This window comes from Homo sapiens, chromosome 5, assembly GCF_000001405.40.
Source record: "Homo sapiens chromosome 5, GRCh38.p14 Primary Assembly".
Lineage (NCBI taxonomy): Eukaryota > Metazoa > Chordata > Mammalia > Primates > Hominidae > Homo > Homo sapiens.
In genome coordinates this window covers 148,060,364-148,081,772 of record NC_000005.10, presented here as the reverse complement: position 1 = coordinate 148,081,772, position 21,409 = coordinate 148,060,364, and the positions used below count along the sequence as shown (strand labels likewise).

Sequence of the window (21,409 nt, the reverse complement as noted above, 5' to 3'; positions counted from 1 at the left end):
AGGTATTAGTTATATACTATAAAATTCACCCATTGAAAGTGATTCAGTGATTTTTAGTAAATGGAAAGAGTTGTACAGCCATCGCCAGAATCTGGTCTTAAAATATTTTCATCACCCTACGAGATTCCCCTGTGCTTGTGTACAGTATATCCAGCCCCCACCTCCAGCTTCAAGCAATCATTAAACATTTTTCTGACTCTGTAAATTTGCCCTTTTTGGACATTTCATATAAATGGAATTATAAATATGTAATTGTTTAATTCTAGCTTCTTTCACTTTGCATAGTGTTTTTGAAGTTCATCCATATTGCAAAATTGTCAGTAGCACATCCCTTCTAATTGTTGAATAATATTTCACTGTATAAATATATTCCTTTTGTTTATCAATTCACCAGTGGACATTTGGACATTTGGATTGTTTTTAGTTTAGAACTATTAAAAACATTGTTGCTATAAATATTCACATGCCTGACTTTCTATGGACCTGTATTTTCACTTCACTGAATTCCTAGGACTGAATTTTCTGGATCACATGGTCAATCTGTTTAAAATTTTAAGAAGTTCTCAAACTGTGTTCCAATATGGCTGTAACCTTGTATATTACCCCGATCTGACTATATGTGTTCCAGTTTCTCCACACCCTTAACATTTTGCATTTTCTGTCTTTGTGATTATAATCATTCTAGTGGGTACGTGTAGTGATACACCATTGTGGTTTTAATTAGCATTTGCCTAAATAATAACGGTGTTGCGCATCTTGTTGTGTGCTTATTAGCCATTCATATATCTTTGGTGTAATATCTATACTTAATTGAATTGTCTCCTTATAATAAGGTTGTAAGAGGTTTTTATGTTTTGTGGATTTAAGTCCTTACCTGCTATATAGGTTGTGACTATTTTTCTCCCAGTCTATAACTTGCTTTTTCATTGACTTCTTGTTGTCATTTGAAGCACACAAATTTGCAATTTTTATAAATTTCAGTTTATTAATTTTGTATTCATGGATTACGCTTTTAGTTTTATGTCTAAAGTCACTCTACCTACCCAAGTTCATGAATTTTTTTCCTCCTATATTTTACATGAGAAGTTTCATATATTTAGCTTTTACATTTAGTGCCAAAATAAAATTTAAGTTAACTTTTGTGTATGGTATAAGATAAAACTGTTTTTTAAAATTAATTATATTCAATTTTCTCAGCATTACCTTGACATGTTGGTTAAACATTAACTGACCATAAAAGTAAGTAATCCCTATTCTATTCCCCTGATCTTTATGCCTATCTTGAAATAACGGCACGCTGTTATGATCACTATTGCATTATAACAAAATTTAAATTCAGTTACTGTTAAATGTCTCAATATTTTTTATATAACTAGTAGGATCAACTGCTCTATTTCTACCAAAAAGAAAGACTGACAAGATTTTGATTGGGAATATGTTTAATTTATTGATTAATATTGGGAAAATTGCCATCTCAACAATATTGAGTTTTCTCATCTATGAACATGGACTATTTATCTCACTAGTTATTTGGATCTTTCATTTTTCTCAGTACCATTTTATAGTTTTTAGTGTATAAGTCTTGTACTCATTTTGTTAAATTCATTTCCACATTTTTTATGCTATCGTGAATGAAATATTTTAATTTTCAAATTGTTCATTGCTAGTATATAGAAATACAATTTTGTATTATTAATCTTGCACACCGAAATCTTACTAAACTCATTTATTAGTTCTAGTAATTTTTCTTTTTGTGGATCCCTAGAACTTTTCATATATGGTATCATGTTTTGGAATTAAAGACAGTTGCTTCATTTCCAATAAAAAGTGTCTTTAATTAATTAATTAATTAATTTTGCCTTATACTGGCTAAGAACCTCCAGTACAATGTTGAATAGGAGTGGTGACAGTAAACCACCCTTTGCTTTCTTCTCAATCCTAAGGGCAAAGCATTCATTCTCTAACCATTAATTATAATGTTAGTTGTAGGTTTTTCACAGACGTTCTTTATCAGACTGAAAAAGCTTACTTCTATTGATAATATTTTGTGTGAGTTTTCATCTTGAATGAGTGCTGGATTTTAATAAGTGATTTTTCAACATCTATTAAGATAATCATGTGGTTTTGCCCTTTATTCTGTTAATATTGTGTATTAGACTAATAGATTTTCTGTTCCCAAACCAACATTGCTTTCTTGGGATAATTCTTATTTGGTAATGATTTATTTTTTTCATATTGCAGATTCATTTGCCAGCCAGTGTCTTGTTAAGGATTTTTCTGTCTATGTTTATGAGGAATATTTGTCAGTAGTTTTCTGCTTTTGTGATGTCTTCTACATTTTGTATCAGAATAATGCTGGACTGATATAATGAGCTGTAAAGTGTCTCTTCTTCCTGAATGAATCTGTAAAGAATTCATATTATTTCTCCTTTCAGTATATAATGGAAATTGCCAATAAAGTCATCTGCTCTTGGGCATTTTTTTAAATTTAATTACTGATTCAATGTCTTTACTTATGCTGTAAGTCTATTATGATTTTCCATTTCTTCTTGGGTCAATTTTCAATAATTTGGTTATTTCTAGGAATTTTTCTATTTCATCTAAGTTATTTAATGTGGTGGCATAATATTTTTCATAATATTCATCATAAGCCTTGTAGTTTCTCCAGGGCACATACTGATGTCTCCTATTTCACTCTTGATTTTGGTAATGTTTGTCTTCTGTTCTTTTCTTGAAGGGAAAATAAAACTAAGGGTTTGTCAGGTTTGTTGATCTTTTCAAAGAACCAACATTGGTTTTATTAATTTTTTCTATTATTTGTATGTTTTGTGTTTTACTAATTTCTGCTCCAATCCTTATATGTTTCTTCTTCTGCTTGCTTTGGGTTTAGTTTGCTAAACTTTGTTTTCTAATATTCTCAAGGTAGAGGATTAAATTATTGAATCCTATCTCTTATTTCTGATTAAGCCATTTAAATCTCTAGAAAGTGCTTTAGACAAGTCCAGTAAGTCTTAAATTGTTGTCTTTTTGTTTTCATTCAATTCAAATTATTTTCCAATTTCTCTCAAGATTGTTTCTTTAACCCACCAATTATCCAGAAGTGTGTTGCCTAATTTCTAAAGATTTGGGGATTTTCACGATTCATTTTCCTTGCTGGGTTTGAATTCAACTCTGTTGTGGTTAAAAAAAAATACTATATATGATTTTAATATATTAAAATTTATTATGTTTGTACCTTAGTATATAGTGTATCCTGAAAATGTTCCTCTGTTGCTTTAAAATAATACATATTCTACAATCAACGGAGAAGCACTGTCTATATTTCAGTTTAGGTTGAATTAGTTGATAGTATTCTTCAAGTATTCTATTTGGTCATATTTAGTCTAGCTGTTCTATCAGTATTTTAAGTGGAGTATTGAAATTCCTAACGATTATTTTTGAATTCTTCATTTCTTTTCATTTCTTTTAATTATAGCATTTTTTGTTATATAAATTTGGAGCCTCTATTAGGTGTGTATACATTTATCATTGTTATATTGCTTAACGTATTGACACTTTTAAAGTTACAAAATATCCCTATTTGTCTCTAATAATGTCTTAATGTCTATTTTATCACATATTAATATAGCCAATCCTGCTCTCTTACGGTTAAACTTAGCATGGTACCGATCTGTTATCATTTCAACTATTTGTGTCTTTGAATCTAAGGAGCACCTACTGGAGATAGCTTATAGTTCCTTTGTTATCATTTGACAATTTCTGCATTTTGATTGGGATGTTTAAACCATTTATGTTTAATATAATCACTTTTATGGTTGTATTTACATTTCTACTTTTCTATTTGTTTTCAATATGCTTTTGTCTTTTTTTGCTTCTCTGTTCTACTACCATCTTGTTTTGGGTTAAATATTTCTAGTACACCTTTATAATTCCTTTGTTGATGTTATATATTTATTATATATGCTATTTTCTTAGTAGCTACTCTAGTAATTACAATATGCACCTTAATTTATTACAAACCACTTCAGAATAATACTTAATCCTGGTAAAATAGAGAAACTTTGCCTTAATAAAGCTTTATTTTCTCTATCACCCTTTATGCTATTGTTGTCATATATATATATATATATATATACCTGATAAAACAGCATTATAATTGTTGCCTTATATATTAAGATTATTTCTTTTAAAAAGGCTAAGAGATTAACTCAATTTTCACTATTTCTGGTGCTTTTCATTTCTGTCTGTAGGTCCAAGCTACCATCTGGTAGTTATTTCCTTTCAGCTAAATGACCTCCTTCATTATTATTTTTAAGGTAGTTGTGTTAACAACAAAGTCTCTCAGATTTCTTTAGTACAGTAATATCTTTATTTTGTTTTAATTTTTGTAGGATAGCTTTTGAGAATATAGAATATTGCTTAATCTTTTTTTTCTTTCAGCATTCTGAACATGTCATTTTACTGCCTTCCGGCCTTCATTATTTTAGATGAGGGGCCAGCTTTTAATTGTATACAGCCTGTATATAGGATGTGTCATTTTTCTCTTGCCACTTTCTAAATTTTCTCTTTGTTTTTTTTTTTTATTTCAACATTTTAATCATGATGAGCCATATGTGGATCTCTTCATATTTATCCTATTTGGGGTGTATTGAGTTTCTTAAATGTTAAAATTAATTTTTTTCCATCAAATTTAAGGCATCTTAGGCCATTGTTTCTTCAAATAATTTTTGTATTCCTTTTTCTCTCACCTCTATTTGTGGTATTCCCATTATGCATATGTTGGCTTTCTTGCTGCTGTCTCAAAAAGTGTATAATTTTGTTCATTTTTCTTCTCTATTGTCTGTCTCTGTATTTCCATTGTTAGTTTTTATTAAGCTTTCCTCAAGTTTGGTAATTCCCTTTTTTAAGGATTCACAAATCTGCTTCTGAGCCTCTCTACTGAACTTTTCATTTCAGTTATTGTGCCCTTCAACTCCAGAATTTTCATTGGGTCTTTTTAAAAATTATTCTGTCTTTTCATTGAAAGTTTTTATCGGCTTATTCATTGTTATTATACTTTCTTGTGAACCCTCAAACATGATTTTTTTTAGTATCCTGAATACATTTTTAATAGTTGCTTCAAGTCTTTGTCTGCCACATCTAACATCTGTACACAGTTAAAGACAAACTCCATTAATTATTTTTCTTGAGTATGGGTTGTATATTCTTGTTACTTTGAAAATTTTATAACTTTTGGTGAAAACTGACATTTTTTTAACCTCACTAACGTGGATTATAAAAACTGAACATTTTGATTATAAAAACAACATTTTAGATAATATAGGTACTCAGGTTTACAATTTTTTCTTTAAAGATTATTTTCACTGCTTTTTTATTCTTTTTTTGCTTCTGTGGCTGGATTAAATCTTTGAAATCTTCCTCTCTCATAATTGCAGCTGCTGATGTGCAGCTAAGAAAATGATAGTTTCTATCATGGTTATTTTTTAAGCCTGGCTTCCTATGTTTTTCCCCTATGTTTTTGTAGTTTAATGGTCAGCTAAGGATTTAACACAGTTTGTGTTCAAATACTTCAAGCTAACAATGCTTTCACCCTCTCAGATAGACCTTTGTGTACAGGGGAGGGCATGCAAAGTTCAGGCCACTTTTGCATCTACTCCAGCATTTGCTTCTCACTGGGACATTTTGTGTTTATTAAGCGGATATGCGCAGCTTTATAGTCAGTTAGGAGTTTGCGAATCTCTTGACCCTCTTTGGGCTCTTTCAACTACGTGTGAAGGCTCAGCCAGGAATACACTTGCTTCAATTATGACTGCAACCTCAGACCATTTTCCTTACCCTTGGTGAAGATTATCACTTACACTGAAAACACCTCTGGGTATGACTTTTGCTCGTTACTCCAAATTAGGTTAGCCTTCTTCAACAATGGCAATGCCTTTGCTGACCTTTGTACCCTGTATAGAACCTCCATGCCAACCAAGCCAGGGGATGAAATGGGAATATCCCTGAGCAAGAACATCACAGACCTCTCGTTTTATTCCTAAAGTCAGCAGTTTTTCAAGATAAATGCTTCTCAGATTGGTATAGACTGCTGATCAATTTTCAGATTGCTAAAATGGTTTTTGGTCAATTTTGTCTAGCTTTATAGTTGCTTTCTGAGGAGAGGATCTGCTGACCACCTGATTTAGTCAGAGTCTAAAGTGTCACACCTTAGGATAATTTTATGTAAATTCCCAAGCCAGATAAGAATTATTTAAAAGATAAAAGTGGAGATTCACCTTACTTAAGAACATAATTGCAAATTTTCTAATTAAGATATTAGTATCCAAATTCATAAATTTATTTAAAATATATTATAAAGTATGATTTACTCTAAGAAAATAATAATAGTTTAATATTAAGAAATATATCCAGAAATTTATTTATATTAATAGACTAAAAAATCAAATTATTTTAATAGTTGCAAAGAAGACTTTTAATAATAAGCAACACATATTCAGCAAACTAAAAATAGAAAGGAATTTTCCAAACTTGCTGAAGTGTAGAGGTAAAAACCGCTATGATAAATATTACATTCAATGGAGAAACTTTAGAGGTATTCCCTTTAATATGAAGAGACAAGGGGATTATTTGATGTTCATTACCATCACTAGTGTTTAACTATTGAAGTCTGGATCCTTTACCAATTATATAAGAAAAGAAAGAAAGATGTGCTAAGATTGAAAGGAATATTATAAAACTCTTGTTATATGTAGGTAATATGATCAACTACCAAGAACAAAAACAAAAGTTGTCTGACATAAGATTAACCTGAAGAAATCAATAGAATTTGTCTATATCAACAATAAACAGATAAAACACAATAAAAAACAAAATATATTCAAAATAGTAATAAATTTACACATTTTAAAAATATTAACAAAAATTATAAAAATCTGAATATTTTGTAAATTTTATAAAGTAGATCAAAATTATATGACTTATTCATAAACTATTCTATGCTCATGAGTTTAGAAAATTAATACTGTAAAAAGTCAATTTTACCCCAATTAATTTACAAATTCTTTGTATCCATAAACACACTGGGTTACCAAATTCAAGATGAAGTTTTTATAAACTCAGTTATTTTTATCTCTAACATGTATATGGAAACCATATATCTATGCATAGGTCCCATCAACCTTTAACAACATGAACTAAGAAGGGGGACTTACCATACTAGTTATTAAAGCAATAAATGAATCTGAAAAAAGAGGGACCTCAGAAACACACAGACTCGTGTGAACTTAATATTCTATAAAGTTGGCAACCTAAATCATGATAAACATTGAATGAATGAATTCATCAATTAAAAAAACAAGTCTTTACATGTACCAAAACACCAGAGATCAGAAATTATGGATGACTGGATTGAGATGGTAGGGATGGAAATGGAGAAAAGGAGTTAGACTTTGGAGGCAGTACCAACAAGACTTGTTAATGGAGGGAATACTAGAGTCGGGAAATGAAAGGATGACATACTAGTGAAAAGAAAATTAGTGATGAAAGAGAGAGTGAGAGGATGTCTGTAGGAGGAAACTCCTTGAAATGCAGAGCACCTTATTCTGAGAGGGAGTAGCAGGGTTGATTTCTGATGGGCGGAGTCTAAGCAGAAAAAATCAGCACATTGTTCTGTTTTATAGTGGAGAGAAAAACAACAACAACAAAAAACACATGGTATAATTGGATGAATCCTTTTAAATACAGAGACAAGGAAAAATTTAGACAGAACTTATTTGAAAGGCACACAGCCAAATGTTAACTGCCTTAACTTAATGTAAGTTACTACTTGGTTATGTAAGTAGTTTCCTAAGTAGTGAACCACATCGCTATTAAGAGTTTTATCTAGAGGGTTTTTTTTTTTTTTACAGTTTTGTGTGTGTGTGTGTGTGTGTGTGTGTGTGTGTGTGTGTGTGTGTGTGACTCAGGCATAATATATTAACAAAAAGTAATTTTATTTCTTAAGACTGTAATTTTATTTTTTAAAACTCCTACTTTATTAAACTTCAATAAATTTGTGTCTACATATGGAAACATCTAACTAGCTATATTTTTTAGATAGGTTTGTTAAAATTGGTATGTTTGTGTGTATTTTGCTTTTTTGTCATTTCCTCATATTTTATATTTTTAAACACTATAGATATATCATTTTTTTATGATGAAGACAGAGGAGGAAGAGGAGAATGGATGTTAGAAAGTGAGCCACTCTTTGAATGTGACAAATAAGACACATATAAAGTTGCCACTAAACCTTTCTGGCCCCCACAGATTTTGTAGAATATAAAAGTAGCTCTCTTTTGCTACAGATAAAGAGTTTTCAATTATGGATCAATTTTGTGGTGTCTGTTATTGTTTTAAAAGTGAGACTGGTTGAGCCCAGGCAAATAATTTAGTAGACTATGTTTACTGTGGAGGCTGAGGTTCTCAGATGTTCTTGGCTAACACTGCCAAGGAAGATGTCAGCGTTGTTAGACCATGGATGTTATAAGTAATTAAGGTGTACTAACCTTGACTGATTATTTTAATTACGTGTTGGGGCCAGCAGAGAAGGAAAAGAAAGTGGAAATTAGTGAAGAAACTGCATAGGAGACCTGGGGTGATGTGAGTAGTGGTTAGAATAGCTGGTGGTAGTCCCAGCTTTGTCAGTAACCCATTTGTGAGATATTGTAGGCTAGATATATATTTCCACCAATCTGGACCCCAAATTTTTATTTTTTAAATTTTATTTTTATAATTTTGTAAAGATTTTAAAAATGTTTCTAAGTGAAAAAAATTATCAAGTGAAATGGTTTATATAGTAGGATAAATTTGCAGTTTCTTTCCTTCCTTCTATCTTACTTCTTAATGTTTTATGACCTTTTTTTTTTTTTACCAGAGAACACTTTTCTTAAACAAAATATTAGCCTGAGTCCCTGTCTGCAAAATAGATATAAACAAGCAACTATAGTTGAATTAGGAGGACCCTCCAGGTACTGGAACATATACAGTAAAAAGCAAAAGAGTAAAAGAAAAAGGAAACAGAATGAGTCAAATGCCTGCTAGAACATGTTAAACCCTGAGACCGGCTTTTAAAACTTAGTTTCTATTCGGTCTAAAACTCATTTTACAGATGAAAACATTGAGATCCAGAGATACATAAATTTTCTAAGTTACACAAGCAATAAGAATTCTAAGATTTGAACTTAGTTCTACAGTCCCAGGAAAGCTCTTCTTTGGGCTAAGACAGGACAAGAGGAATGAGAAATGATGGCCTTGGAAGGCAGACATCACACTGGCTCACTCCACCTCTTAGTTTCCGTCAGTGCCTAAAATGTTTTTAGAGTCGGATCATGGGTTGGGCCTATGGACAAGATGTACCAGATATTTAGCCCACCCCTGGACTAACCCATGTTCCCTCCCTCCTAAGTTGTTGGCTTCAAAACAGGTATGACCTAGTAATTAAGGAATAAACAGATAGCTCTAAATAGAGTCAAACATCCTCTCAAAAGTAAACAGGTTGGCTCCAAATAGTCTCACCTCTGTTGGGGCAGTAGCCTTGGGAGCTCTTGCTAAATGCCTGGCCCTCTTCTGTGATTTTGCTTCTTTTTCCCTGGAAAAGGACAAGAAATAGCATAGTTTAAACATTGTTTGCTCAACTTTTAACAATAACAGCTAACATGGTAAACTTAATTTTAACTGCTCTCCTCAGCCTAGCCTGGCATGTCAAAATTGGTAGCATGTTCAGAAGTGGACACAGAACCCCAGATCTCCCTTCAACATTGAAAAATATCTCGAACATGGTATTATAGGAAGAATCTCTAACTTTAACTGCATAACAGACTACCTTCCTGGAATACTTCCAACAGCCAGGTGGTCACCAACTCTCAAAGCTATCTGCACCATTTTTTGAATGCAGTTTTTGAAAGAGAATATTCACATTGAACCTGCTTATATTGGTTCTAATTCCAACATCTAGGGACCCACAGAGCAAATCAATTTTCTTTTCCATAAGCCAGTTCTTTAGGAATCTGATGACAGCTTTTATGCTTTGCACAGCCTCCTTCTTTCCAGGTAAAAAAAAAAATTTTATTCTAACATAATTTACGTAAGTCATAAAAATAATAATTGAATAACTTCAAAATGATAAACTGTCTTTAGACTCTTAAGGCATTTCATTTTTGTTTTACATTATTTTTCAGTAAATTTATTATATTCATACTTTCAGTCTCATATTAAAACATCTTATGAAACAAGAAGAAAATTTTATAATAAATAATATACCTGCTGGTTTACATTCAGCTTTCAAAAAAAGAAAGAATTATTCAACCTGCCCTAGGCCTCCCATCCTCTATTAAATCTTGTCCTGGCTTCTTTATAGTCTCACAGTCTCTTCACTAGAAGCAGTGCATGATCAAACGATCTGAGCTTCATTATCCCAATATGATTGACTACGTCAATCCCCAAATTAAATCCTGTGACACACACCAACCTGACATTTAAAAAGCCAATTGTAATATAATTATCCTAAGTGGGTAAGCTCAGTATTGGCTTGCTACCACTGTTGAAGTTTTGACAGTGGTCAGAAATTGAGGCTAACCTTCCTTTTCAAAAACAAATTAGGACATTCTGGTTTGAGGATTTGCAATTGATAACCCAAGCCTTCTTTTACCTTTGGGGTGACAATGGAGAGAAGGAAACCAAGTTAAGAAGCATTGAATAGAGATTGGTAAACTTCCAGGATACTAATTCTTTCTGAGCTGCAAGGAGTTGGAAACTATAATCTACCCTTTAGTTCATCTCATCCTAGAATAATGCTAGGTGTCTAAAGACACTGGCAGCTCACAGAATCAGGGTATACCTTGCTTAAGTCCTTCTGCTGGTTGGCTGTCACGGGAGAGTCTGGCATTATGCTTAAGCCAATCTTCTCAGTCCCTAGGCTGCAACAGAATCAGGTCTTAACAGGCCCAAGGAATCTGACTTTCTTTGTCAAATTCATTTTTTTCCAAAACCAGGAAGTTCAAAGTGGAACTACATCCTCAAAAGACTATAGAGTGCTACAGAAGGTATTGACACTGGGCCCTCTGGAATGCTTTCAGAATCTTGTTTGAGTGATTATTAAAATCTTTCCAGGTGGGTGGTAATTATCCAACTTTATCTGATGGGAAATGTCAGAGTGATCTGCTCAGCACTTTTATTTAACCATTTCGGTTTAGAAAAATGCACTTGAAAGAAAAAGAATACATTTACCAGTTCAGAGACTAGCTGTTAACTCAAACATTGGAAAGAAAGAAAGAAACCTTTACTCACAGTATCATTTTGCACGTGGCACATTTATTGATGAACATTATTCCATCAAGACTTTGAAAAAATTTCTTATCCTGGGGACAGAACAGTTTTCCATTTTTCATAAATGCCTGAAATTCATGGCACATTTCCTAAGATAATGCCAAAAAAGTTGTGTTAGCTAAAAGTACATCAAAACAAGCTTTATTTTGATATATATATGTAGATATATGTATATGTCTGCATATATATACACACACAATTCCAAGGTTTTTTGAAGATTAAGTATGTAAAGCCCTCAAAGAATGCCTGATACATAGTAGATATTCAATTAATAAATTATCCTCCTTCCTTCTTCCTCCTTTTTTATTATTATTGTTTTGATGTTGCTGGTGATTGTCAGTATTATTACTGGAATATGCTAAGATGACACATATAAAATACCTAGTACACAGTAGGCCAATAGTAATTGCTGTGAAAGGAATATGAAAATGTTGCTGAAGGACTGAGGCAAGGTGTTTGAGCATTGAACATTATAAAATGTCTGCCTACATTTCCCCATGGCTGTACTGCAACATATCAGTTCCTAGAAATTTTAACAGTGTTAAATGAAAAAAGGATTTCTTGGTTATATTTATCTGGAAAACAAGTTTCTAGACTGGTTTATTTTCTGAAAAGAACTTCATGTCCCTTGATAAATCATTTGACTTATGAGCACAGGCAGACTTACCTTAAAGCTAATAAAGCTTAAGATTCAGGGCCCTTCACTGTCACATCCCCCTTCCGAGGTTCTGGGAGAGGCCTAACCATTTTGCATTTTCAAATTTGTATTATATTTTTTAGAAAGTACCCATACTTCCACCCCCACCACCATCCCCACAAATGTCATCAGCACTACTATCACTACCATCAGAATCAAACCTTGTGAATCTATGGAAGTACTGAGGAAATTTCTCAATAATTGCATAAGGCTTTCTCTCTCTTTCTCTCTCTTTCTCTCTCTCTCTGGTAATTTTTTTTTTGGCACATCCCTTGGAACTAAAATCCTACTATGTTTGTTTTGGGCTTTTGGTTTTGTAAATACCAATAACTCCGTTATACAAAGTTTAAGGAGGACAGGGGAAACATTTTAAATAATAGAATTGGTGGGGAAAAGGAAAGTAGAATGATCTTCAAAAGTGGTAATTCTTTGATTCATTCAATATTAAATATTAATAAATAATATTAAATATTATTATTAAAGTCCTGCTATACATCACTCATTCTTTTTTAGGAGCTTAAAATATGGTGCATTTCTGCTACCTAGTAAAGTATGATTTTAAAATGTTATATTCCCTTTTAATTTAGAAAATTCACTAGGTATTTATTTATCTTTAGATGGAGTCTTGCTCTATCGCCCAGGCTGGAGTGCAGTGGCATGATCTTGGCTCACTGCAACCTCTACCTCCCAGGTTCAAGAGGTTGTCCTGCCTGAGCCCCCTGAGTAGCTGGGATTACAGGTGCATGCTACCACATCTAGGTAATTTTTGTATTTTTAGCAGAGATGGGATTTCACCATGTTGGGCAGGCTGATCTCGAACTCCTGACCTCAAATGATACACCTGCCTCAGCCTCCCAAAGTGCTGGAATTACAAGCATGAGCCACTGTACCCAGTGAAAATTCACTAGGTCTTTAGAATAGGCCTTTGGAATCTAAGGGGATTTTTGTTGTTTTTTGTTTTGATTTTTTTTAATCTGCTTCAAGTTGCTTGTATCAGGAAACAAATAAACAAAGCTTTTGCTTCAACTCTGACAAACACAACCTGTTCCAAAAAATTTATTAAAGGTTTCTATTTAGGCTCCTATATCTATATCTGGTGTTTTGTGCTTGTTTTTTCTTTCTTTCTTTCTTTCTTTTTTTTTTTTTTTTTTTTTTTTTTTGGAGAGGCAGGGTCTCACTACATCGCCCAGGCTGGTCTTGAACTCCAGTAGTCTCCTATATCTTTATGATCATCATTGAATGAGCCAGCAATCACTTATTATTGGATTACTATACTTTGCTAGGTGACATAGATACAGCATTAGGTAGAACAGAAGTATACTTGCCTGGATGAATAATGATGTACTTAATCTAGCCTCTTAAAAATGGTAGGCAGTTGGTAGCACTTGCAAAATGATTAATGGTGAAGGAGAATAACTAAACGATATCACAGACCAGCCCTGGGAAATTTAGCTAAGGATGGCATGCTTAAATATCTCTAAGATTATTATAGCTACACAGTGACTCCATCAGAGTAGCAGAGTAGTAATTTCTGGACACAGATTAATAACTGGGCATCTTGAGACCTGTCTGATCTCTGATTCTACAGTATCAAATGCCAACTTTGCAAGTTATGCTTACCTTGATGAATATAATTGATCCTAAAATCCATATAGTAGAATCAGAGAAGAGCCTGGGGTCTTTGTAATGAAAATATATCCCTTATTAAGTAAGTCTTATAGAAAGTATATAGACGACTCATGATAATCCTGGAATAAAGCTCTAAATAATTTTGAAAGCTTATCATAAAAGAGTAGCATCAGGCCAGGTGCAGTGGCTCATGGCTGTAACTCAGCAATTTTGGATGCAAAGGGAGGAGGATTGCTTGAAGCCAGAAGTTCAAGATCCTCCTGGGAAATATAATGAGACCTTGTCTCTACTTATAAGAAAAATTAAAGAGTTGCATCAATAAGAATAATCCCTAAATTGGACTTCTCCAATATCACTGTTAGATGAGAACTTAATTCCTAGAAAGACTCCCTTTCTTACAAACTGAGCATCAGAGGCCCAAATAATAGGTTAAGAAATTTGTTCACAGTGATTAATTAGTTAAGATGAGATTCAATGCTATTTTTCTGAGTTATGAAATTATCCAATGTATTCTCTTGGGAAACAGGAAAAGACCATAAAAATGGAAAGCAGCAGTTGAGTTTTTCTCTGAGCAAAATGGAATACCCTTTCAATGACCATAATAGAGAGGGTTGAAACAGAAGCATATTTAGACCAAAAGTCATCCTGAGTTGAGTAGATGACTTTTCAGCACCTGTTTACTTGCAGGGTAACTTCCAGTCCCTGGCCTGTTTTTGTTTTGTTTTGTTACTGTTGCTGTTATTCTCTTTTTCTCAGCATGTCCCAGGAAAACTGGAGCCCTCTAGGGCCAAGTTCTTCCTGTTTCCCTCACTGGCTGAGGCCTAATTTGTTGTCTTCTATTGTCCATCTCCAGATATTATAATAAAACCCTCCAGGAGCTGCCATTGCCCTATCTCAGTGTTAGAGCACTGACCAGCTTGCTTTTGCCTGAAGAATGACTCTTAGGTGATGACAAATTTAAGCATGCTTAAGATCCTTGCAGATTGCTGCAGTGCTTTTCCCTGCTGTTTAGGTTCATGTTTATGACATTTAACATGCTTTTATCATGCTGAAAGGAACCCAAGCTACTAAACTTGGAAAATAACCAAAATCACAGCATCGTAAAAAAGACTACATCAATAGTTTTCATTTCTGACACAGTATCCAAAAACTCTGATTAGAAAGGCTTCCAAATAAATAATTACTTCTTTGTGTTCTTGCCTTTAATACCAAATATAAGAAGTCACTAAATTTGTTTTTAAAATATTTTTCAGTGAAATAGAGGTTAATGCTATGAAAAATAGCAGTGTAAAATTCACAGTATCTGCCATAAATCACCAACCATCATCACGGACTCTGAAAAAGAAAATGATGGTTTTATACACAATGATATTTATATAATATCCTTCTTTTTTCCCAGTATAAAACTTCCAAGTGAGCATGCTCTCTGATTCCCAAATGTCTAGCTTATTTTCTACTCTACTGAACTTTCTGGACCTCTCCCTATCAGTAAACTTAGATGAAATAGTAGAGAACATGATAAAATTCTCTAGAACACTCATGTAAGAAGTTTCTTTAAAAAAAATCATTGCAACAAAATACGGCAAGAGAGTATTTTAACCATGGTTCTCAGAGTTTCAACGTAAAGAATAGCTGTTTCACATTTTTATTCCTTTAATGTTCGTGGCCAGAGATAAAACAAATTTTGCCACATATTCAGCAAAACATTTAAGATTGTGCTTTAAGTGCTGAATTAATAGCATGCATAGCAGTGTGTGTGTATATAAATATATAAAATGTGTGTGTGTGAGTAATTGGTCATCCTATCTTTCAAATAGATTAAAAAATTTAACTTCTAGTAGAAAATGATTTTTTAATTTATCAAACAAAAGAGGTTTAAGAGTTGGTAAAGCACCTTCTTGCGTCAGGGCCTCTGCGCTCACAGGTGCTTCTGTCTGGCCTGCTGTAAACTGCAAATACCTTCGTGGTTCATTCCCTTATGACCTTCAGATTCCTATTCTAATACTGTCTGTCCAGAGAGAACTTCCCTGATTATCCTTATGAGAATGGATACCACCTCCATTCTCAGGGATCCTATTATGCCTCCTGATTTATTTTTCTCCTAGCATTTATCATTATTTAACGTACCATATGTTTTGCTAAGCTACTTATTAATTTGTCTGTTTTCCTACACTAAAACGTAATTTTCAGGGCAGGAATTTCATCTATTTTGTTTACTTAAAAATAACCCCAGCATCTCAAACAGGGTCTGACATCTAAGAGATGCTCAATAAATATTCATTACATGAACTATATACACCGACTATATACAAGATACAGACCACCCTCTTTTGCATAATGATTACTAGAAAATTTATTTCAGCTTCCTATGTGGTGTATCATGGCTTGTTGAGATGTTAAATGGAACAATAGTAGTTTTCCAGTTGATTTATTTTTTGTTTATGAAATTTTAAAATGCTCCTTTAACATGATAAATTGCCTCTTGCAGACATCCATCATCATTAATATGTTGAGTGTGTGTGTGTGTGTGTGTGTGTGTGAGAGAGAGGCTCATGTCCTGATTCATAAAAATCTGTTTCTGTGTTTTTAACAAAAGCTATTAGTACCTACCAGTATAATATGTTTGTATTATTAACATGAAGGTGTTGGCCACAAACCACTTTTCTTTGGGAATCTTGGAATGAATTCAATGAACAGAAAAAGCAGGACTAACCTGATCTTCATTCTTACTGGCAGCATCTGGGATGAAAATATAGAAACCAAAGTTAAGGAAATGTAAAATATTTAATAAACAAAACAAATAATCCATTTAATGCAGCATCTTGATTGCTTTAATGACAATATGTTGTAAAACCGCAAATGGTTTTTGAACACATTAAGATTTATCATGGCAAATAAAAGAAGGGCACTGGACCAGGAGATTAGTATATATACTCACAAAGGTCTAATCACTCAGAAAGTTACAATTACTTTGGAAAATAATACTCATGTGAATTCTAACCCCATCAAAATAGCTTATCTTCAAAAGGTCCTTTCGGAGTAATAAATGCCAGCCTCCCTTTTAAAATTACAATATAACATACACACAAAATACTATACCAATTATAATTTTGAAACTATATTATAGTTGAAACTATAATATAGCATTACATTTATAGGATATATACATAAAATTTAATTTTCTGAATTCTGGCAGCTCTACCTCCTTATTACAGCTGCAAAAGTTAGAGATCTGACAGAAGGTAAGATTAAGGTCACAGGCTATTATACTCTCTCATTAACATAGGCTCTTTTGTACCTACACACCTATTTTAGGAAAATGGGCATTATTTGTATATGATTTCAGACTATCTATGAGTTTCTCTTTTTAAAAATTTTAATGTTTCAGAGCAACGTAAGTCTAGGCAATTTGTGTTCTCTTAGGGTTAAATAGCAAATATAAAAATCTACCTTCCAGCTCCCACAAAAGTCCCTCACTCTTTGGGAGAAATGCTTTCAACCCATTTAGCATTTGAAAACACAAGACTAAAATAAGCTAGAAGATACCACTGCTTTAAAATAAGAACAGATGATTGAATTTTAAAAAATATTTCATTTATACCTATAACATTAAAATACATATATTATTTACAATTAAGTTTTAAATGTCTATTACATATATAAGAATATGCATTATGAATTGATACATTTAGCAAGAGGAAGATGAAGAAGAATCTATTCAGTTTTCTGAATTAATAAAGAATTAATGGAAGAATTTCTCATGGTTAGAAAATTCAGATTATCTCAAACTACTTGCCATTTCTAAAGATAACAACATAATTATAAAGCCACATATATAAATCTTCAGAACTCTGTGTCTGGCAAGACATTTCAGGATTATACATGCATACGTAAACATTTTTTGGCAGGAGTAGGGGGAGAAAAGTCCCTTCCCCAGGGCTTTGAGATGTGTGGCAAGAGGCTTAGATTACACACAAATTGCTCACCTTGTATGAGGCAAAGAGCCAAGGGCAGAAGCACTGACACTGTGGCTATCTTCATGTTGAAGACGATGCAAGTCGCCTACAGGTCCACTCCATGCATTGCTCAGCTGGTGCAGTATGACTGAACTCGGGGCGATGCAGTTTACTTTTATAAAGCACTGGTGACACCCACATAAAACCAGTTGTTCAAGGTCATGGGACTTATATACCACACCACTTTAGCTTCCATCCTTTAGGATCCTGTCAGGGTGTCAGGTTTGAACAGAGAATATCTATTTCTAAAGTAGGAATGTTCTTTCATGGTACCTCCCCCAGAACGCAATTGATGGAGTCCACAGACCCTACTCAAAGTTGAATATTCTATAATCCTATATAATAACCGAATTCCTCAGAAATACCAGATATACTACCTCGTAGACAAACATGTTTCTGACTGGACTCCCTTCATAAGTGGGAGAGGAGAGGAAAGGAAGACAGATTGGTTGTCCTACCAGTCAGGTATAGATTTAAAGATTTCCACATCCAGAGAAATCCAGGGTTCCTGTTCTGAAGTGTCTGAGTTCAGTGTCACAGACTCATATATATGTTAGAGTTGAACGACCCTAAAAGATAACCTGGCAAAATTCTAATGTTGAATATATAGGGAGGCAGGAACTCAGAGGAGCAATGACTTTCTCATAAGCAGACAGTTTAGTTGGAGCAGGCAGAGGAGGCATCCAGCACTTGCAAGCAGACCACACATATAACATTCTTTCCTCTCTGTACACTGCTTCATCCTTAGACATTAGAAAAGGCAGGAACGTTGGAAAAATAAAACTTGTATGTAACTACTTTTAAAACTTCTCAATCTGCAGGATATTTTATATTCTGAAGCCTTATTTTATATCCTAGCCAAACATCATAATCATAAACATTGGAGACTCAGTTTAACTTTCCATAGCCTATGATTACCCATATTACCGTTTGAAAAATTTGGCTCAATCAGTTTTCTCTAAATCATATTTCTTCCTGTATCATCCCATTATTTAGTCTCCCAAAAAGAAAAGAAGAAAAAAGTTGTTAACAATTATAAATGTGTAAATGTAACATTTTTCTAGAGAAAGTTTCTTCTCTTTAGTTGCTTCTTTCATCCTACAAGTAACACCTTTTTTCTACCAGCTTATTTTGCCCTAATAGCTTAAGAAAGCACCTGAAGAAACATGTGAAGATGACTGAAACCAGAGCCAAATTGTTTCATTCCAGTACTTCTCAAGATATTCACATCCACAGAAGAAAAGTTCGAGACTTTATCCAATTAAAGGCCTTTTTATGATGGTTCCAGAAAACTGATCAAAGTTGCCCAACTTAGGGAGTATGCCAATATTATGAGATTTATCACAGTGAGATAATACGTCCTTTCTTTTTTCTCTCATGAAATAATTTATTTCCTATAAAAATATAATCACTGGGCCAGGCACAGTGTATCACGCCTGTAATCCCAGCACTTTGGGAGGCCAAGGCTGGCGGATCATGAGGTCAGGAGATCGAGACCATCCTGGCCAAGATGGTGAAACCCCATCTCTATTAAAATACAAAAATTAGATGGGCTTGGTGGTACGCACCTGTAGTCCCAGCTACTCTGGAGGCTGAGGCAGGGGAATTGCTTGAACCCGGGAGGCGGAGGGTGTGTGAGTTGAGATGGCGCCACTGCACTCCAGCCTCAGCGACAGAGCAAAACTCCATCAAAAAAAAAAAAGATATACACACACACACACACACACACACACACACACACATACATATATATACACACACATATATATATATATATAAAATCATTGGTTTCAAGGTCTGCACTATTGTTGTAGCTTGGCTCCTTTCCAATGGAATAGTAAAATTAGTGACCACGGAAAGCAAGTTCAAATTCCATTATTGTTACAGGTTAGAAAATCAAAGTCCATCATAGCTTAATGGAAAGAGAATGAGACAGGGTTTCAGAAATCTGTTTCTATTCTATGTAGTCTTTTCAACTATGTAGGGATAGAAATGAACCCAGCTTTGAAGCAAGCTAGAAATGGGTCCAAATCTTGAATTGTTAGCCATGTTGCCTTGGACAAGTCACTTATTTTCTCTAAGCCTCAGTTTCCTAATATGTAAAATAAAAATAATAACACGTACATTGTACTAGTGCTAAGAGGTTTAGAGATAAATCATATATATAATGCGTGTGTGTTTGTGTGTGTGTGAGAGAGAGAGGTGCTTAGAACAATTATCAAGTTTATGTGATAAGCTTGATAGTTAATGATAGCTGGTCTTGCATTTTTACATAATTATAATAACGTGGTTGTACTAGATAATTTCTAAGATACCAAGAAAAGTAAACATCTGTTGACTGTGGATTTCACCAATAGATTTATATTTACTCAGCATAGAAAAACTACCCCAACACAATTTGAGGTGAAATTAAACTATAACGATATATGTTCTCTTTTTCCCTTTTAATTGTATTTTAAACCATAATGCCTAAACAAATCGAAACATCACCTGTTAAAACTTAACGAAAACCATTGCTCTGTTTCAATCAGCATTGATTTCTTGTCTCTTTCTCTAAAAGCCTCTTCTAAATATTCACATATCAATACTAATTTTTTATCTTTCATCTGCCCTGTCAGACCATACGAAATGTGTCCCAACCATATATTCTGTTATTGACGGTAAAAGAGTTTGATGCCTTAAAATGGAATCAATGACTGTGTATTATGCTCTAGTGACCCCTAGCCTAGCCCAAATGGAGAATATTCCCAGGAGTGGAAGTGGTGCTAGGGTGGAACAGAAGAACCAAAAGATGATTGCCTGTCTTAGGAATCTCTACTATGAGGAAACATTGAAGACATTGGTTTCCTTCTTACTGGAAAAGAGCTCCTCAGAGATGCCAGCCTTTTCTGAAATGATGAATAAAAAGTTTGAAACTGATATCTTTTCCAAATGGAGAAAGTAGTAAAAAGAAGATTCAGTGAGCACCCCCAAAATTGGAAGTACTCATCAGCTGGCTCATTTCATTAGGGCTTCTTCTCCATTTCATTTTAGGAATGTTGTAAAGCCAGAGGTGATTCATCACATGCTCTGTTAATTACTCCTCATTCCTGAAAATCACCATGAATATTACATTTAAATGAATGGGATTGAAGGTTTGGAGAACTCAGGTTTGGGTCAGAGTTAGGTTATCAAGGTATTCTTCTAACTCAAAATATCATCCTTGTTTTTAACTCTTTCAATTATTCATCAAACATGTAGAAACTTTTTTCCTCTCATTAGAAATGAGTGGGCTTAGATAATAAAAACTATGAATTTTACAACCTTACGCATTTATGAGGTTGGCAGAATCTGAAGGATACTGATACAGGGGGAGGAAATGAGAAAATTATAAAGATTGTTGTAGATCAGTAATGTTACTACAAACAAAGGTTATTTCCAAAATATAAAGTTACCATATCATTCCTAAAGTCTTCTGTTTTTCTACACAGAGGGAGCCTTGATGACGATAATAGTTAATAAATAACTATAGTCTTTTATGATTAGATCACCTTCCACAGCTTTCAAAACAACCTGCCATTCATTAGCTCTTTTGATTTGTTTATGCAGTGTTGTGAGGCAGCCAATTAGGTGTTATTATCTTTTCTTTACCAGCCAAAATTGGTGTCATAAAAGAAACCTGCAGTAGGAACTAGCTGGGATGGTCATCTCAGCCTTGACACTTTCT

General features: G+C 33.6%; 1 protein-coding gene across 5 annotated transcripts in view; it reads right to left on the bottom strand.

Moving 5' to 3' along the window:
• The window catches only part of SPINK5 (serine peptidase inhibitor Kazal type 5), a 73,403-nt gene extending 55,610 nt beyond the window's left edge, over positions 1-17,793 (bottom strand). For 3 of the 5 annotated variants that reach the window (NM_001127698.2, NM_006846.4, NM_001127699.2), the window contains exons 1-4: positions 17,674-17,793; positions 16,401-16,426; positions 11,323-11,450; positions 9,553-9,625 (exon numbers count right to left, since the gene is read on the bottom strand). In NM_001127698.2, the coding sequence (NP_001121170.1) occupies positions 9,553-9,625; positions 11,323-11,450; positions 16,401-16,426; positions 17,674-17,728 (282 nt within the window). In that variant the 5' untranslated portion in view covers positions 17,729-17,793. Of the gene's footprint in view, positions 1-9,552; positions 9,626-11,322; positions 11,451-16,297; positions 16,367-16,400; positions 16,427-17,673 lie in introns of those variants that run through there. The other 2 variants (XM_047416662.1, XM_011537551.3) reach the window with 2 other exon arrangements.